The sequence below is a fragment of the Homo sapiens genome, chromosome 1 (assembly GCF_000001405.40).
Source record: "Homo sapiens chromosome 1, GRCh38.p14 Primary Assembly".
NCBI classification, from domain to species: Eukaryota; Metazoa; Chordata; class Mammalia; order Primates; family Hominidae; genus Homo; species Homo sapiens.
In genome coordinates, this window is record NC_000001.11 from 52,374,095 (window position 1) to 52,389,549 (window position 15,455).

A 15,455-nucleotide genomic window follows, 5' to 3' on the forward strand; every position below is an offset into this window, starting at 1 on the left:
GGCACACTGCAGATGTTCAGGAAATGTTTACAAACTAAAATGAAAGTCACTCTCTGCAGAAGAGCTATCTCAGACTCTAGGAGGAGAACAGTAATGGGCAAAACATGACGAGTAGCTAAAATTTTAAACAAGAATTTACAACCAACCCAATAAATAAGTAGCTGAAAGGAAAATGTTTTCCTGACTTATTTTAGTTAAATAAAGATGTCTAAAACATACATACACAAACATACACACTCTCAGGTACACACTCATAAACACCTTTAACAATTCATCTTCCAAGGCAGCCAATTACTAGAGTCTTAAGTAAACTAACAAAGCACATGCCCTACTGATCCCTCTCACTTGATCTAATTGAACTATGCCCATGCAGGGATTGGATTGATCTGTGATTTGTTCTCAAATATGGCCTCATTCTGAAAGCCTTGACTCCACTACAACATAAGCTGTAATCAGGGAGTAACTTTGTCTTGTTCCTCATTCTTTGAACAGTGTCTGGCACACAGGCCTTCAATCTAACATGCAGAAACCAGTCGCTAAAGGTCTCTTCTCATGCAGCTCTACAAAATGTCACATTAAAATAGGTGCCGGTCTGGTATTCTTTCACATACTCTAGGTGGCACAAAATAGAGTGTCACACATTCATGGAAATTTCCATGTATTTTAAAAGCGTAAGTCCAAAATCTAGAAGGATTTGAAAAGAGGAGGAGATCACCTGTTGAAACGTGGCTTCCTCCAGTCCTGATCGACGGAACTCTGCGAGGATGGCTCTCAGGAAGCTCTGTTCCAGAACAGAGGAATTTCTTAAAGGAAACGAGGGGATGTGAGTTTTTGTCAGTGGCTGTAACCCCAGCCCAGAGGAAAGCCAAAGAAAACTTTTCTGTGTCTTTAGAAAAGAGAAAACCCGGGAAATAATTTCTCCTATATTATGTGGCAAGGATCTCCCTGACCCCCAAACTCTCAAACTGATACAGAAAATGTCACTGTGGAAGTGAGGAAACATAGCAACTACATCCGGAAATACACTGGTCACTCATAAATACCTGTGCCCTCATTTCATGAGCTGAGCACATCAATCAGTGTGAGAGAAGCAGCTGCTTCCTTTTTTTTTTGTTCCTATCATAGCACTTTTATGCCCTAAACACCTATAATATAGCTCAATAAGTGGCAAATATTCTATTATCCTAGGGTTATATTTCTGTTTCCCTGACTAGATAATGTCCCTATGAAACATAACTGTGTTATTAATAAGTGCAGGTTGAATGAGTAAAAGCTTAGAAAGGGAAACATGTTTCTACAGCCTTCCAGGAAGGCTCAGGAAGTGGAGCATCTTACTTGATGGCCGTGATGTATGATGATGAAAACATCTCATCCACAGCTTCCATTGAGTGGGCTATGGTGACCAGGCCAGGGGAGTCAGGCTTCTGCTGGGAGAACTCACAGATCTCTGTGGCACGCCTGCAGATGTCCAGGCACCGTCGTGCATCTCCAGACAGTGCTGCTACCTACAAGAGGGAATATTTTATTCCTGAGGCCACCTTAGCCCAGAAGAACCAAGAGATTCTTGGTAGTGCTGGCAATGGACATAAGCGTAAAGTTAAGTACTTAGCCCTGGCAGGGAACCTGGAGGAAGAATAGAAATGAATTATTACATTGTGCATGGGACTCTAATCCTCTAGTCCAAACCTCTGTCTTGGTTTTACAGTTAACTCCACAGTGGACAACACAGAAATTCTCAGCTTTACTATTCAGGAAATGAAGTCTAAAATCAGAGACGCTTGGTTCAAGATCACTATTGAAGCATCTGCAAACAGAGTTCTCACTCCTTGCATAGAGACAGACGTGTGCCCCCAGAAGCAGCCAGCCAAAGACAAGAGGGTGAGGTGGAGCCTATCTGGAGATAAAGCCATAGCCAGGCACCCCTTACAGCACGTGGTGAATTTGGGGTCGGCTTGGTCAATGGCTAAGAGGACCAGAATCAAGAATGTAGGAAGGGGCTGGACGCGGTGGCTCACACCTATAATCCCAGAACTTTGGGAGGCCGAGGCAGGCGGATCACCTGAGGTCAGGAGTTTGAGACCAGCCTGGCCAACATGGCGAAACCCCATCTCTACTAAAAACACAAAAATTAGCCAGGGTCTGGGGCGCGGTGGGTCACACCTGTAATCCTAGCACTTTGGGAGGCCCAGGCAGGTGGATCACTTGAGGTCAGAAGTTTAAGACCAGCCTGACCAACATGGTGAAACCCTATCTCTACTAAAAATACAAAAATCAGCCGGGCATGGTGGCACATGCCTGTAATCTCAGCTACTGGGGAGGCTGAGGCAGGAGAGTCACTTGAACCTGGGAGGTGGAGGTTGCAGTGAGCCAAGATCACGCCACTGCACTCCAGTCTAGAGTCCATCTAAAAAAAAAAATCACTTTCCAAGTAACCCAGGACACAAACATGACTATCGGCTTACATTTTTCCCTTCCTCTAATCCCCAGTATTGAACTGGTAAGGGTGTCCTGTAGCCCTTCCTGCTTCGTCAGTTCTCCTCCCCTCCCATTACCACCTGTACAGCCTGGTGAAGAGGCACTTTGTGTGGTGAATAGCAGGGACTCAAGGGCCTCAAGACAAAGTGAAAGGGGAACTCTGGGGGGTAAGGAAACACCTAAACCAGTCTGACCCCAAGGGTATCAGTGACACTTGGCAACCCTATGCATCCCTTCGGGCTGCTGCTGGGACAAGGGAGACACAAGAAGAAGCTAAGGCCCAGCCAACATGGAACCTAACAGGACATCCTGCAGGCACCTGAAACTTGACCTCCACTTCAGCCTCAGTACAGGGTGAGTGAGACCCATCACGCAGAACGGATGGCAGGAAAAACGGCCTACTTGACCTTGGTGCTAGGTGGATGTGGGCACACACAAAAAACTTGGGTTTTATTTATTTATTTATTTTTGAGACAGAGTTTCACTCTTGATGCCCAGGCTGGAGTGCAGTGGTGGGATCTCAGCTTACTGCAACCTCCACCTGTGGGGTTCAAGCGATTCTCCTGCCTCAGCCTCCCGAATAGCTGAGATTAAAGGCATCTGCCACCACACCTGGCTAATTTTTTGTATTTTTAGTAGAGATGGGGTTTCACCCTCCCAAAGTGCTGGGATTACAGGTGTGACCCACTGCGCCCAGCCGACTTTTTGTTGGTTTTTTTGTTTGAGAGAGGGTCTTGCTCTGTCACCCAGGCTGGAGTGCAGTGGCATGATCATGACTCACTGCAGCCTCCACCTCCTCGGCTCAAGCAATCCTCCCACCTCAGCTTCCCAAGTAGCTGGGACTACAGGCACATGCCATCGCATTGGGCTAATTTTTAAATTTTTTGTAGAGACGGGGTTTTAATATGTTGCCCAGGCTGGTCTCAAACTCCTGGGCTCAAGTGATCCTCTCACCTTGGCCTCCCAAAGTGCTGGGATTATAGGCATGAGCCACCCTACCCAGACACTCTCGAGTTTTTACAACCATAAGCCCTTGCTTGGATTTGGAGCCCAAATTTATGTTGTATTTCCTACAATTCTCAAGTGGAGAATTTTATTTTAAAAATGGTAACAGTTGGTAGTGCCCCTAGAAGCAAAAAAAAAAAAAAAAAAAAACAAATTCTAAATGAATTCAACTTCAACCCAGGCCCCAATTAACTCTCAAATAAAGGAGCATGCTGAATTCCATGCATATAGTAAAATAAAATAAAAATCAAGACAAAAAAATAAGAAAACCAAGCCACATATGCATGGGAACCAGCAGAATCAATGGTTATCAGAATCAGACCCCTAAAGACTTCAGGTATCATAACTATAGGATATAGAATATAAAACAGATTCGCTTCGTCATATGTAAAGAAATAGAGAGGGCTTTGAAACTATGGGCAAGAGATTTGAGGAAGAGCAGCATCCAAATTGGATGTCTTCTGAATCTTTGTTAAAAAAACCGGGCTGGGGCGGGGCGCGGTGGCTCACGCCTGTAATCCCAGCACTTTAGGAGGCTGCAGCAGGCAGATCACGAGGTCAGGAGATAGAGACCATCCTGGCTAACATGGTGAAACCCCGTCTCTACTAAAAATACAAAAAATTAGCTGGGCGTGGTGGCACATGCCTGTAGTCCTGCTACTCAGGAGACTGAGGCAGGAGAATTGCTTGAACCCACGAGGCAGAGGTTGCAGTGAGCTGAGATCGTGCCACTGCACTCCAGCCTGGGCAACAGAGTGAGACTCCCTCTCAAAAAAAAAAAACAAACAAAACACCAAAACTCTGGCCAGGTGCAGTGGCTCACACCTGTAATCCTTTAACTTTGGGAGGCCAAGGCAGGCAGATCACTTGAGGTCAGGAGTTCAAGACCAGCCTGGACAACATGGTAAAACTCCGCCTCTACTAAAAATACAAAACTTAGCTGGGCATGGTGGCGGGTGCCTGCCTGTAGTCCCAGCTACTCAGGAGGCTGAGGCAGGAGAATTGCTTGAACCTGGGAGGCGGAGGTTGCAGTGAGCCAAGATTGTGCTGCTGCACTCCAGCCTGGGTCACAGAGCAAGACTGTCTCAAAAAACAATGACAACAACAACCCACCCCAAGACTCTAAAAGGAAGGGAAGCATCAGGAGAAGATTTAAAAATATAATTTTGCAAGTTAGTGCCAGGCGCGGTGGCTCACGCCTGTAATCCCAGCACTTTGGGAGACCAAGGCAAGCAGATCACGAGGTCAGGAGATTGAGACCATCCTGGCTAACACAGTGAAACCCCGTATCTACTGAAAATACAAAAAATTAGCTGGGCATGTTGGCGGGCACCTGTAGTCCCAGCTACTCGGGAGGCTGAGGCAGGAGAATGGCATGAACCCAAGAGGTGGAGGTTGCAGTGAGCCGAGATTGTGCCACTGCACTCCAGCCTGGGCGACAGAGCGAGACTCCGTCTCAAAAAAAAAAATTATAATAATAATAATTCTGCAAGTTAGAAAGACATGGAAGAGTAGCGGTTAGTGTAGTGGACTGGAGAAAGCCAAATCCTAAACCTATATTGAGGAATCCAAGAACAAATCTAAGTTACATTAAAAATCCTCAAAATGCTCAGGAGTTAGTGGTGCTGGAAAGAGGTAAAGGGGGGTTGTTTAGCTAAAGTAGGGTATTTTTTTTTTTTTTTTTTCTGAGACGGAGTCTCGCTCTGTCTCCCAGGCTGGAGTGCAGCGGTGCGATCTCGGCTCACTGCAACCTCAGCCTCCCAGGTTCAAGCGATTCTCCTGCCTCAGCCTCCCTAGTAGCTGGGAATACAGGCTCGTGCCACCACGCCCGGCTAATTTTTTGTATTTTTAGTAGAGACAGGGTTTCACCCTGTTAGCCAGGATGGTCTCGATCTCTTGACCTTGTGATCCACCTGCCTCAGCCTCCCAAAGTGCTGGGATTACAGGCGTGAGCCACCGCACCCAGCCAAAAGTAGAGAATATTTGGTTGTGGTTGAAAGTTAAAAAAAGTTGAGGACGTTAAGAAACTAAAGATGCCTTAGATCAGGAAACAACAAAGTGTGGCTCACCATCTGTTTTTATAAATAAAAGTTTTATTGGCTGTAATCCCAGCACTTTGGGAGGCTGAGGTGGGTGGATCAGGAGGTCAAGAGATTGAGACCAGCCTGGCCAACATGGTTAAACCCTGTCTCTACTAAAAATACAAAAATTAGCTGGGTGTGGTGGTGTGCACCTATAGTCCCAGCTACTTGGGAGGCTGAGGCAGGAGAATGGCTTGAACAAGGGAGGTGGAGGTTGCGGTAAGCCGAAATTGCACCATCGCACTCCAGCCTGGCGACAGAGTGAGACTCCGTCTCAAAACAAAAAACAAAAAAAACAAAGGAAATTTATTCTCAAGCAAAGTTTAGCAAAAAGTCTCTGGTCCTAGGAATGCTAGGCATTATTGTAGAAGAGGTGTCCCTTACCAAAAATAGATGATTACTATATGCATGCCAAACTGGAAGACCTCTTCTGTACCTGACACCAGCCCCTCATTCCCAGAACACTGCCCTCCAGACAGGACAGGGGAAGCATACTGAGAAATCTGACTATTCCCATGGGAAAGGAGGAAAGACAGTGATACTGGCCCACTCAGATCATCCCACAGCAAATCTCATAGTGAATAAGCCCCACTCACATGTTCAGAGCCAGCTGTTTAATCTCCACCCTTACACCTGAGAGGACAACCAAGACAACTGTGGAAAGTCTCTAACGATGCAAGATAGAGACCAAAATCAACTGACAGAAGCATCTTGGAGGAAAACGGGAAAGGACAATTTCAAATAAATAGGATGGCATTGGCCGAGCGCAGTGGCTTGCTCCTGTAATCCCAGCACTTTGGGAGGCCAAGGTGGGTGGATCACCTGAGGTCAGGAGTTCAAGACCAGCCTGGCCAACATGGCAAAACCCCATCTCTACTAAAATACAAAAATTAGCTGGGCATGGTGGCACACGCCTGTAATCCCAGCTACTCAGGAGGCTGAGGCAGGAGAATCTCTTGAACCTAGAAGGCGGAGGTTGCAGTGAGCTGAGATCACGCCACTGCACTCCAGCCTGGGCGACCGAGTGAGATGCTGTTTCAAAAAAAAAAAAAAGGGTGGCATAAAAAAAGGATCATTCAAAGAAAAGAAAAAGCCTCTTAGATAGTCTAGATAGATAGCATAATAGCAAAAGTGAAAAACTCTACCCATAAAATGCCTAGATGATAACTTTGAGGATCTCTCTCCTGGAAAGCAAAGCCTGGAGACAGGCACACAATTGGCTCACCTCTTACCCCAGTCCCTAATACAGTAGCTAGTTCCAAGCAGGAGTCACAGTCATGTGCTGCTGCTACAGCCATTCAGGGTGAAGAGTGTGTCGGCAAGAGGAAACTAGAAATAAGTTTATAATTATTTTACATGCTGAAATACTTGTGGATGTACGGTTTTTCTTTCTTTCTTTCTGCTTGAGGCAGACATTTAACCCACTTTGTTCCTCAGCAGCCGGGGAGACTAGTCTGTGGTGAACTCTCAGGGAGCATTCTCCTATTAGACTTGGAGGAGAGGGGCATCTAATACCTCATATCTAGCCTGGAGAGTGTGCCTTGCTGGGCATGTAATAGACATGATATTGTTATATTTTCACAATGACCCTATGAGGGAAGTGCTCTCATTCTTCTTCAGAGAAGAAAACTGAGGCTCAGGAAATTTTTAAGTAACTTTCCTATAACTTTCTGCATGCCTACTAAGCGTTAAAGCCAGAATTCAAACCAGGTTTGTCTACCTGACTATATTGTCCCTTTCATCATGCAAAACTGCTTGCTCCCTGAATGAATTCATATTAGTTTGCATATAAACCCACAATATTTAGGGCCCTCTAATCATAAAATAACAAGGCTAAGGAATTTCTCATAATCTTGTCTTTTTTGATATTTTTACACGACTTTCTAAATTTCTCTCCAACCTCAGAGCACCAGCATAGGGCCTCATACCCAGCAGGTACTCAGCAAAGATGTGCTGACTGATTTATGGGTGCAGCTGGTGACTTACCTTCCTGGCTACCAGCTGGATGGCATCATCTTCAAAGGCCTTTAGATGCTTGAGCCGGGACCTTAGGATCTGCTGCAGCTGGCTATATGTATAGGGCTGGAAGCACATCCTGGTAAGACCCTGGGGAGCCAAAATGACAGAGGAATAAGTTGGTTGACTGCCCAGTGATTATCCAGGTGGAAAGTCACCCTTGGGCCCCCAAACCCAATTCCCAGGTCCCATATAACAAATTACACATTTCATACCTAGACTACCACTGCCTTTACTGACAATGACCAGTGGTGTCCTGTAGGGCAGTAGTTTTTGAACTATTTTTTCATTTCATTTAAGGACCTTTGATTCTTTTTTTTTCTTTGAGACGGAGTCTTGCTCTGTTGCCCAGGCTACCGTGCAGTGGCATGATCTCGGCTCACTGCAAGCTCCGCCTCCTGGGTTCACGTCATTCTCCTGCCTCAGCCTCCCAAGTAGCTGGGACTACTGGTGCCCACCACCACGCCCAGCTAATTTTTTTGTATTTTTAGTAGGGACAGAGTTTCACCGTGTTAGCCAGGATGGTCTCGATCTCCTGACCTCGGGATCCACCTGCCTCGGCCTCCCAAAGTGCTGGGATTACAGGCGTGAGCAACCACGCCCGGCCTAAACTGGGATTATAGGCATGAGCCACCACGCCCGGCCTAAGGACCTTTGATTCTATCAGAATCATTTGGAAGTAGATAAAAGCTGAGGTGCTTTAATTGAAGTGGGTGAGAGGATCTTCAGATCTATGCTATACATTGTCACTGCACTTGGCTTCACTTACCAGGCTCTTCATGATTTCTCATTGCGCTTCCTGCTGAACTGCAAGGCCTGTGAGGGCAGACATTGCATCTGCCTGGTTTATTGCATTATTCCAAGCACCTAACACTGCCTGGCAGGTTATAAGTGCTAAAACTTTTTTTTTTTTTTTTTTTTTTTTGAGACAGAGTTTCACACTTGTTGCCCAGGCTGGAGTGCAGTGGCGTGATCCTGGCTCACCGCAACCTCCGCCTCCCGGGTTCAAGAGATTCTCCTGCCTCAGCCTCCCGAGTAGCTGGGATTACAGGCATGCGTCACCACACCTGGCTAATTTTTGTCTGTTTAGTAGAGATGGGGTTTCTCCATGTTGGTCAGGCTGGTCTCGAACTCCTGACCTCAGGTGATCCACCTGCCTTGGCCTCCCAAAGTGCTGGGATTACAGGCGTGAGCCACTGTGCCCAGCCTAAAACATTTTTTTTTTAAATAATTAAACCTCCATGGTTTGGTGCAGTTTAAAAGTCCACGAGCAGCAGAACACCAAGATATGATGTTTGCAGAAAATCATGCAATGGTTACATATTCCAACATAGAAACTACAAGCATTGCAGAAATCACATTTCTTAACATCCCAATTTATTTTAGTATTCATTTTTGCAGAACTTTTTTTTTTTTGGGATGGACTCTTGCTTCGTTGCCAGACTGGAGTGCAGTGGCACGATCTCAACTCAATGCAAACTCTGCCTCCGGAGTTCAAGCAATTCTCCTGCCTCAGCTTCCTAAGTAAAAATTAGCCTGGCTAATTTTTGTATTTTTAGTAGAGACGGGGTTTCACTGTGTTGGCCAGGCTGGTCTTGAACTCCTGACCTCAAGTGATCCGCCCGCCTTGGCCTCCCAAAGTGCGGGGTTTACAGGCGTGAGCCACCACACCTGGACCATTTTTGCAGAACTTCTTGGCCAAGCTTACAGATCTGCAAGAACAGCATGGGAACTGCCCTAGAACCTACCAGTCGGCTGGACACCCGGTTCATCATGATTCGCTCTGGCAGGTCCATTGTGTTGGCAATTGCCAGGACCACAAGCCGGGCCTCCTTATGAGTGGGCCAGTCAAAGAGATTGTACATTATGTCTTGTTTGTGAGTCCACAGAAGGTCGAGCTGCCAGGGCAAAGGAGAGAGGTGCAGAGTCAATCACAGAGACTGAGCTGGTGCTTCAAAATGAAGACCTATAACCACTGCTTTAGCTGCATGTTTCCCAAGTCATAGCACCAAAACAATCCATTGACACACGCCTCTCAGCACCAGAAAATGGGCTCATATGAATGGAGAAGGGAGCCAGGACTTTCCTCCCTCCCATCCAGCACTTGCTCCTGAGGTACAGCCCTGTTTCTTCTCCTGTCCGCCCATGGGCACCTCACCTCATCCACAAGCAGGACGGTGGTTTCCTGAGGTGACCCTCGGGTGCAGAATTGCTTTGCCAGCAGTTCTGCCGCATGGTTGGCTGTTGCTTTTTGGCCTGTTAGCTTCTGCATTAGGAGAAACACAGTTGTGAGGAACTGTAAGGGTCTTACTCCCTTGGGCTTAAAGTTAAATCTGCAAATGGAGGGAGGCATTTAACCTGAGGACTTCGGTATCCTATATTCTGCCTCCCAATCTAGTCTTAACCTTTACTTGGAAGGACAAGAGAAGGCACCGAAAGAGAAGATAAAGAAGGTATATGAGTTTGAAATGCAAATGAGTCACAGGCTGGGCCAGAAGCCCCCTTAAAATCACTATTACAGAATTCTATAACTGGATGTTACCTGCTCCAAAATAACAGCCCATGGACAAAGAGCAAGGCTTAACCTCTGGCCTGCCACGGACCCCTTTTCCATGTTGCCACACTGCTACCTGTAAGCTCACAGTTTTCACCATGTGGGTAAGTACTGGCTTCCTGGCTTGTAATCATTATCCAGCTCCTAGACTTTGAAGTCTCTTAGGGTAAGAATTCTGTCTTCCTTGCCCTTGCTACCTCTACAGAAAGGACAATGCCTGGTATATCATGAACATGCAATACACGCAAAATTAAGTAACTCTTTCCTTTTTCATGTGTCACGAAGAAACAGCATTTTCCAAAAAGCCTAAACAGCTCTGCTTACCTGCAAGATTTGCACATAGACTTGGTGGGGCTCCGTCAGCTTCATGCCATTGACCTCAATGTATTGAAAGGGAGGAACATCATTGGCTTGGGCTGCCTGCTGCAGGCAGCGTATCACTTCATGAACAGTGGCAGTCTTCCCTGTCCCAGGGACACCGGAGATGTACATGCACCTAGAGCAAGAGAGGAAAACCCGTGGGGTAGGTCTCAGCCAGCCACTACACGTTATAATCAGTTAGGAGTGTGGGAATGTATACTGAGGGAAGGACCGAGACCCTTGAAATGTGGAGGTGGGGGCAGTAGGGACCATCCTTGGAAGCTGGTCAGAGTAGGACCTGCTTATATAGAATCATTCATTCCACAGTTTGCATAATGCTATATGCAAACTGCCTACTCAATGAAGGCCAGTTTCATTCTTTCTGAAAGGCAAAATTTCTGTTACTATAGGATTACTTTGGCAACAAATGTTTCAGAAGCTTTGGGCTTCAGCAACGATTTGGTCTAGTCTGCTGATACTGGAGAAAGCCTGTATGGCTGAACTGTAACACCCAAGGCATTCCACTAGCAGGGGCCTTATTCCCCAAACTACCCTGCCTGCCTCACATGACTCACCCTCCGGTATGGTCAAGGAGTTTGCTTTCCACAAAATTGTAGATGTCTTGGAATTCCTGTTCCCGACAGGGAAGAGACTCAGGTACAGCAGAAACATGCAGCCTACCATTGGTGGTAAACGGGAGAAAAGGAAGACTTTAGGAACATTCCCCAACCATCTACTCATTAATCAATGGAAAATGATTATGGTTTCTTGTCTATGTTTCTACCTGAAAACTCAATTTCAAATGCTAGAGAATCCCTTCATTCTCAAATCCCTCCATTTGGCCTCATAATCCTTGGCCTCCGTTTCTCCACCCAAATCACATGGGTGGACCTCATCCCACAGGAGATTCAGATTTTGCTTGATTTCTGACAGGATCCAGACTTATATGAAAGTCTCCATATGGTTCTAAAGGGCATCAAAACAAAGAGGCACTGTCCTGACTAATCATCTTCCATCCCTGCGGAAATGATGGCAGTAGACGGGAAGGCCAGTCCTCCCAGGGCCTGTCCACACTGGCTAACCCAGATGCTGCCTGAGAGGTTTCTTTTTTCTAAACATACACTCACTTTACCTAGATAGGTAAAAGTATAGACACACAGTGTATCTACCTTTATTAGGTAGACCAGTGACTGCTAATTTTATGTGAATGAAAGCAGAGGCCCCATGGTTCCTGCCTCTCTGAAGGGGAATCAACAGCAGCAGTACCTCAGTCGGGCTTCCTCCAGCACACTGGCTGGCTCCTGGGCAGCCAGGCTTCGACTACGGATCTGAGGAGCGGCACAACGTGGCGTTCTAGGCTTGAGCTGTATTGAAAACAAAGAACATATTTCACAAGGAAAAAGCAAAACACCATCCAGGACACACCAGCAAATGTGATTTGTGCTGATCTGATAAAAGGAAGAGAGGTGGTGAATTCCTCTTAGTTCCTTCCTGGATAAAGGACCATGACTCTCCCTCTCTCACCTCACATTGCATAAACTTTGTTCATCGTCCAAATATGGTTTCTTTTTTCTAATGTATGTATAGTATCAGGATTTATAACAATATCAGTCTGAGGAAAGAATTAAGTTTGGATGAAATACTATTTAAAAGTAAAATATTATCTTGAAAGACAAGAAATGTTTAAGACACCCTAACTACTCTGCCCAAATACAGAAGAGAAGAGGAGGCATAAACTAGGTTTGATTCATTAGATCTTTCCCTGGGCTTATTTGAAGATATGGCCAAGCATCAGCCCAGGACTTCCATGGCCCACGGTGCGGGACCTGGAGAAACCTTGGCAGATTTTTCCACTCCAAACCCCCAGGTCACCGCTTAGTGTAGTCTAACAGCCCTCTATCTTCTTCCTTGCTCATGGCTTGCTAGAACAAGCCTGCTGCTGCTTCCCTCATCTTCATGGCGTTTCTACAAAGCATTCCCTTCTATGGGGCATTTCACTCCACCCACCCTCTGTTTTCAGCCTGGCTAGAGAGAGAACAATCTCTCCATTTCCTCCCGAGGCAGAAAGCACTTAAACTGTTTAAAAGGCTTTACAGGCTGGTGCGGTGACTCACGCCTGTAATCCCAAAACTTAGAAAGGCCAAGAAGGGAGGACTGCTTAAACTCAGGAGTTTGAGGACAGCCTGGGCAACACAGAGGTGAAAGCCCCCTCTAAATTAGCTAGGCATGATGGCACACTCCTGTAGTCCCAGCTACTTGGGAGGCTGAGGTGGAAGGATCGCTTGAGCCCAGGAGGTTGAGGCTACAGTGAGTTGAGATTGCACCACTGCACTCCAGCCTGGGCAAGAGACAGAGCAAGAGCGTGTCTCAAAAAAAAACAAAAAGGCCTTACATTTATTAATTTTGGAGAAAACAGAAAAGTGTTGACAAGGCCTTGCTGAGAAGGTATCAAGAAACCTGATGGGCTTCTGCCCTTTTTTATTATGCTGAAGGTACCCTACACCCTATATCCCTACTTTTGGGTGGGGGCCAGGAGACACAATCAAACCAGAGGCCTGTTAGGAACCAGGACACAGCAGGAGGTGAGTGGTGGGTGGGGTGAGCATTACCACCTGAGCTCTGCCTTCTGCTAGAGGAGCAGAGGCATTAGATTCTCATAGGAGTGCAAATCCTATTGCGAACTGTGTGTGCAAGGGATCTAGGTTGCACACTCCTTATGAGAATCCAATGCCTGGTGATCTAGGGTAGAACAATTTCATCCTGAAACCATCCCCCCAGCCCCTGCCATCCGTAGAAAGTTTGTCTTCCACGAAGGGGGTCCCTGGTGCCAAAGGGGCTGGGGACTACTGATCTACTGGATTCCTTTCCCTAGAGACTTTTCTTTTTTCTTGAGATAGAGTCTCACTCTGTCGCCCAGGCTAGAGTGCTATGGTGCGATCTCAGCTCACTGAAACCTCTGCCTCGCAGGTTCAAGTGATTCTCCCGCCTCAGCCTCCAGAGTAGCTGGGATTACAGGCACCTGCCACCATGCCTGGCTAATTTTTGTATTTTAAGCAGAGACAGGGTTTCACCATTGTTGGCCAGGCTGGTCTTGAATTCCTGACCTCAAGTGATCCACCCACCTCGGCCTCCAAAGTGCTGGGATTACACGCATGAGCCACCATGCCCAGCCGAGATTTTTCTTTGATTTCAACCCAAGCCAAATCACATCTTCATACGGAAAAATGGACATCAGCTTTAGAAAGTCTTCTAATTAAGATTTCTCAACTGTGTTCCAAAGAATAAGATGCTCTGTCAATTTAACTTTAATTCAAACATTTCTCAAGCACATTCGAACATGAGAAGATCCTGATCTGAATACCTTTTCAGTGTTCTGCTAAAGTTCCACAGGAAGCAGAAAAGATGTTCATTGATCTCCTCCTTCCATCTTGCTGTGACATGATTTGTTACCAATATGTAAGTAGCACTCCCGGTTTCTCAGGTGTATCAAGTGGGACAACAAAACTAACACCACAGCTCGGTGGCCGTACATGCGATACCCACTCTGCCAGTGCTCCGTGGGAAATGCAAAGAGGAGTGGGTCTTGTACTTACTTCCCTCAGGAAGTTCAGCTCTTGGCCATCTGATTCTGTACCGTAAAAGGGACTTACCTCAAAAATCACTCTCTACTAGATTCATTTTCAGTCCTAGTGTTCACTTAGGTCCCCTTCTCCATGAATATTCCACAAAGAATAGCATTGAATATAACAGATCTGTCCTCAGATTCCAGCTGTTACTAATCTGTGACTTCAGCATTTGTAACTTTTAAACTAAGAGAGGGATGCTTCAATGGGAAGTAAACCTAGAAGAACCTTACACTCTTCTTTGGCACCTTCGTGAGGGTATGTAAGGATGACTTCAAGGAAGATCGCAGGTTCCTGGACACAGTTCTGGGTGCTCTCCTTGGAAGGGGCGGTGTGGAAGCCTCTTCTTCGTCACTGCTAGAGTCTGAAATCTCTGCTGCTGGCAGAATCTCTTTCTCTTCTTGGTCACTTTTACTATTACCTAGAAACCTGAATGGTAGGGACATATTTTTTGATACTCAGTGTTCAAGTCTAAATAAGAAGAACTCTATAACATTAGTGTGGATTACAAGTATTGCAGGGTCCCTCCTGTGACCAGGTGACATGGGTGCTTGCTACCGAGACACTCTGTTAGGAGCATTATTTATATTATCTCATTAAACCCCTCAACAACTTTATGACATGTATATTATTATATTTTGTAGATGAGGAATTTCAGGCTTAGAAAGGTAATTTTGCCTTCCCAAGGTTACACAGATGGTAAATGACAAAGCCCAGGTTCAAATCCAGATCTGTCAGAATCCAAGTTCATGCTCTTAGGCACCCCATCCCACCAACAGTCTTGCTGGACATGATGATTAGGGATGGGAGTCACCTAAGCCCAGGAAGTATTTCTTGCCCCTTCAGACTAAGACAATTATTTGAAACTTAACATAATTCCAGACATGCTAGGTAAAAGGTCAATTTCAATGGATTGGCAAATAAACAGTATAAGAGGCATTAGGAGATAAGATTATAGATATCAGAGATGGCAGCAATGTTTCTCTGCCTGCCAAGGAGTAGTCTTACCGAAGCTGCTGCCTAATCCGATTCATAGTCAAGACAGAACTCTTTCTGCGGATACGATGGGGAGTAGAGGTCGCTTCATTCTGGGCTTTTGCTTCTTTTGCATCCCTGCAAGAAACCACAGCGAGGTCACGGGAAGCAGTTTTGGATACCAGAGTGTACAAAAGGCACTAGAAGATAGTCAAGTGGCCTGATTGGCTCCCAGTCTTTTTATATATACTTTGAAAAGAGTAAAACTTTCTTTCTGCTAAAAAGTTGGCAAAAAATTATAACTAAAAAGTTATAATTGAAGCTTGACTCAAACCCAGAGTTCAAAGTCTGCCTTAACCTTATTTA

At 45.9% G+C, this 15,455-nt stretch overlaps 1 protein-coding gene across 7 annotated transcripts in view; it reads right to left on the bottom strand.

The window, feature by feature from the left end:
- The window catches only part of ORC1 (origin recognition complex subunit 1), a 36,675-nt gene that overhangs the window by 1,266 nt on the left and 19,954 nt on the right, over positions 1 to 15,455 (bottom strand). For 4 of the 7 annotated variants that reach the window (XM_047421674.1, NM_001190818.2, NM_004153.4 and 1 more), the window contains 10 exons: positions 15,123 to 15,227; positions 14,348 to 14,543; positions 11,758 to 11,855; positions 11,067 to 11,168; positions 10,456 to 10,627; positions 9,736 to 9,843; positions 9,326 to 9,475; positions 7,548 to 7,667; positions 1,336 to 1,505; positions 716 to 803 (listed from right to left, as the gene is read on the bottom strand). In XM_047421674.1, coding sequence (XP_047277630.1) covers positions 716 to 803; positions 1,336 to 1,505; positions 7,548 to 7,667; positions 9,326 to 9,475; positions 9,736 to 9,843; positions 10,456 to 10,627; positions 11,067 to 11,168; positions 11,758 to 11,855; positions 14,348 to 14,543; positions 15,123 to 15,227 — 1,309 coding nt within the window. The remainder of the gene's footprint in view (positions 1 to 715; positions 804 to 1,335; positions 1,506 to 7,547; positions 7,668 to 9,325; positions 9,476 to 9,735; positions 9,844 to 10,455; positions 10,628 to 11,066; positions 11,169 to 11,757; positions 11,856 to 14,347; positions 14,544 to 15,122; positions 15,228 to 15,455) is intronic. The other 3 variants (XM_047421680.1, XM_017001388.3, NM_001190819.2) reach the window with 2 other exon arrangements.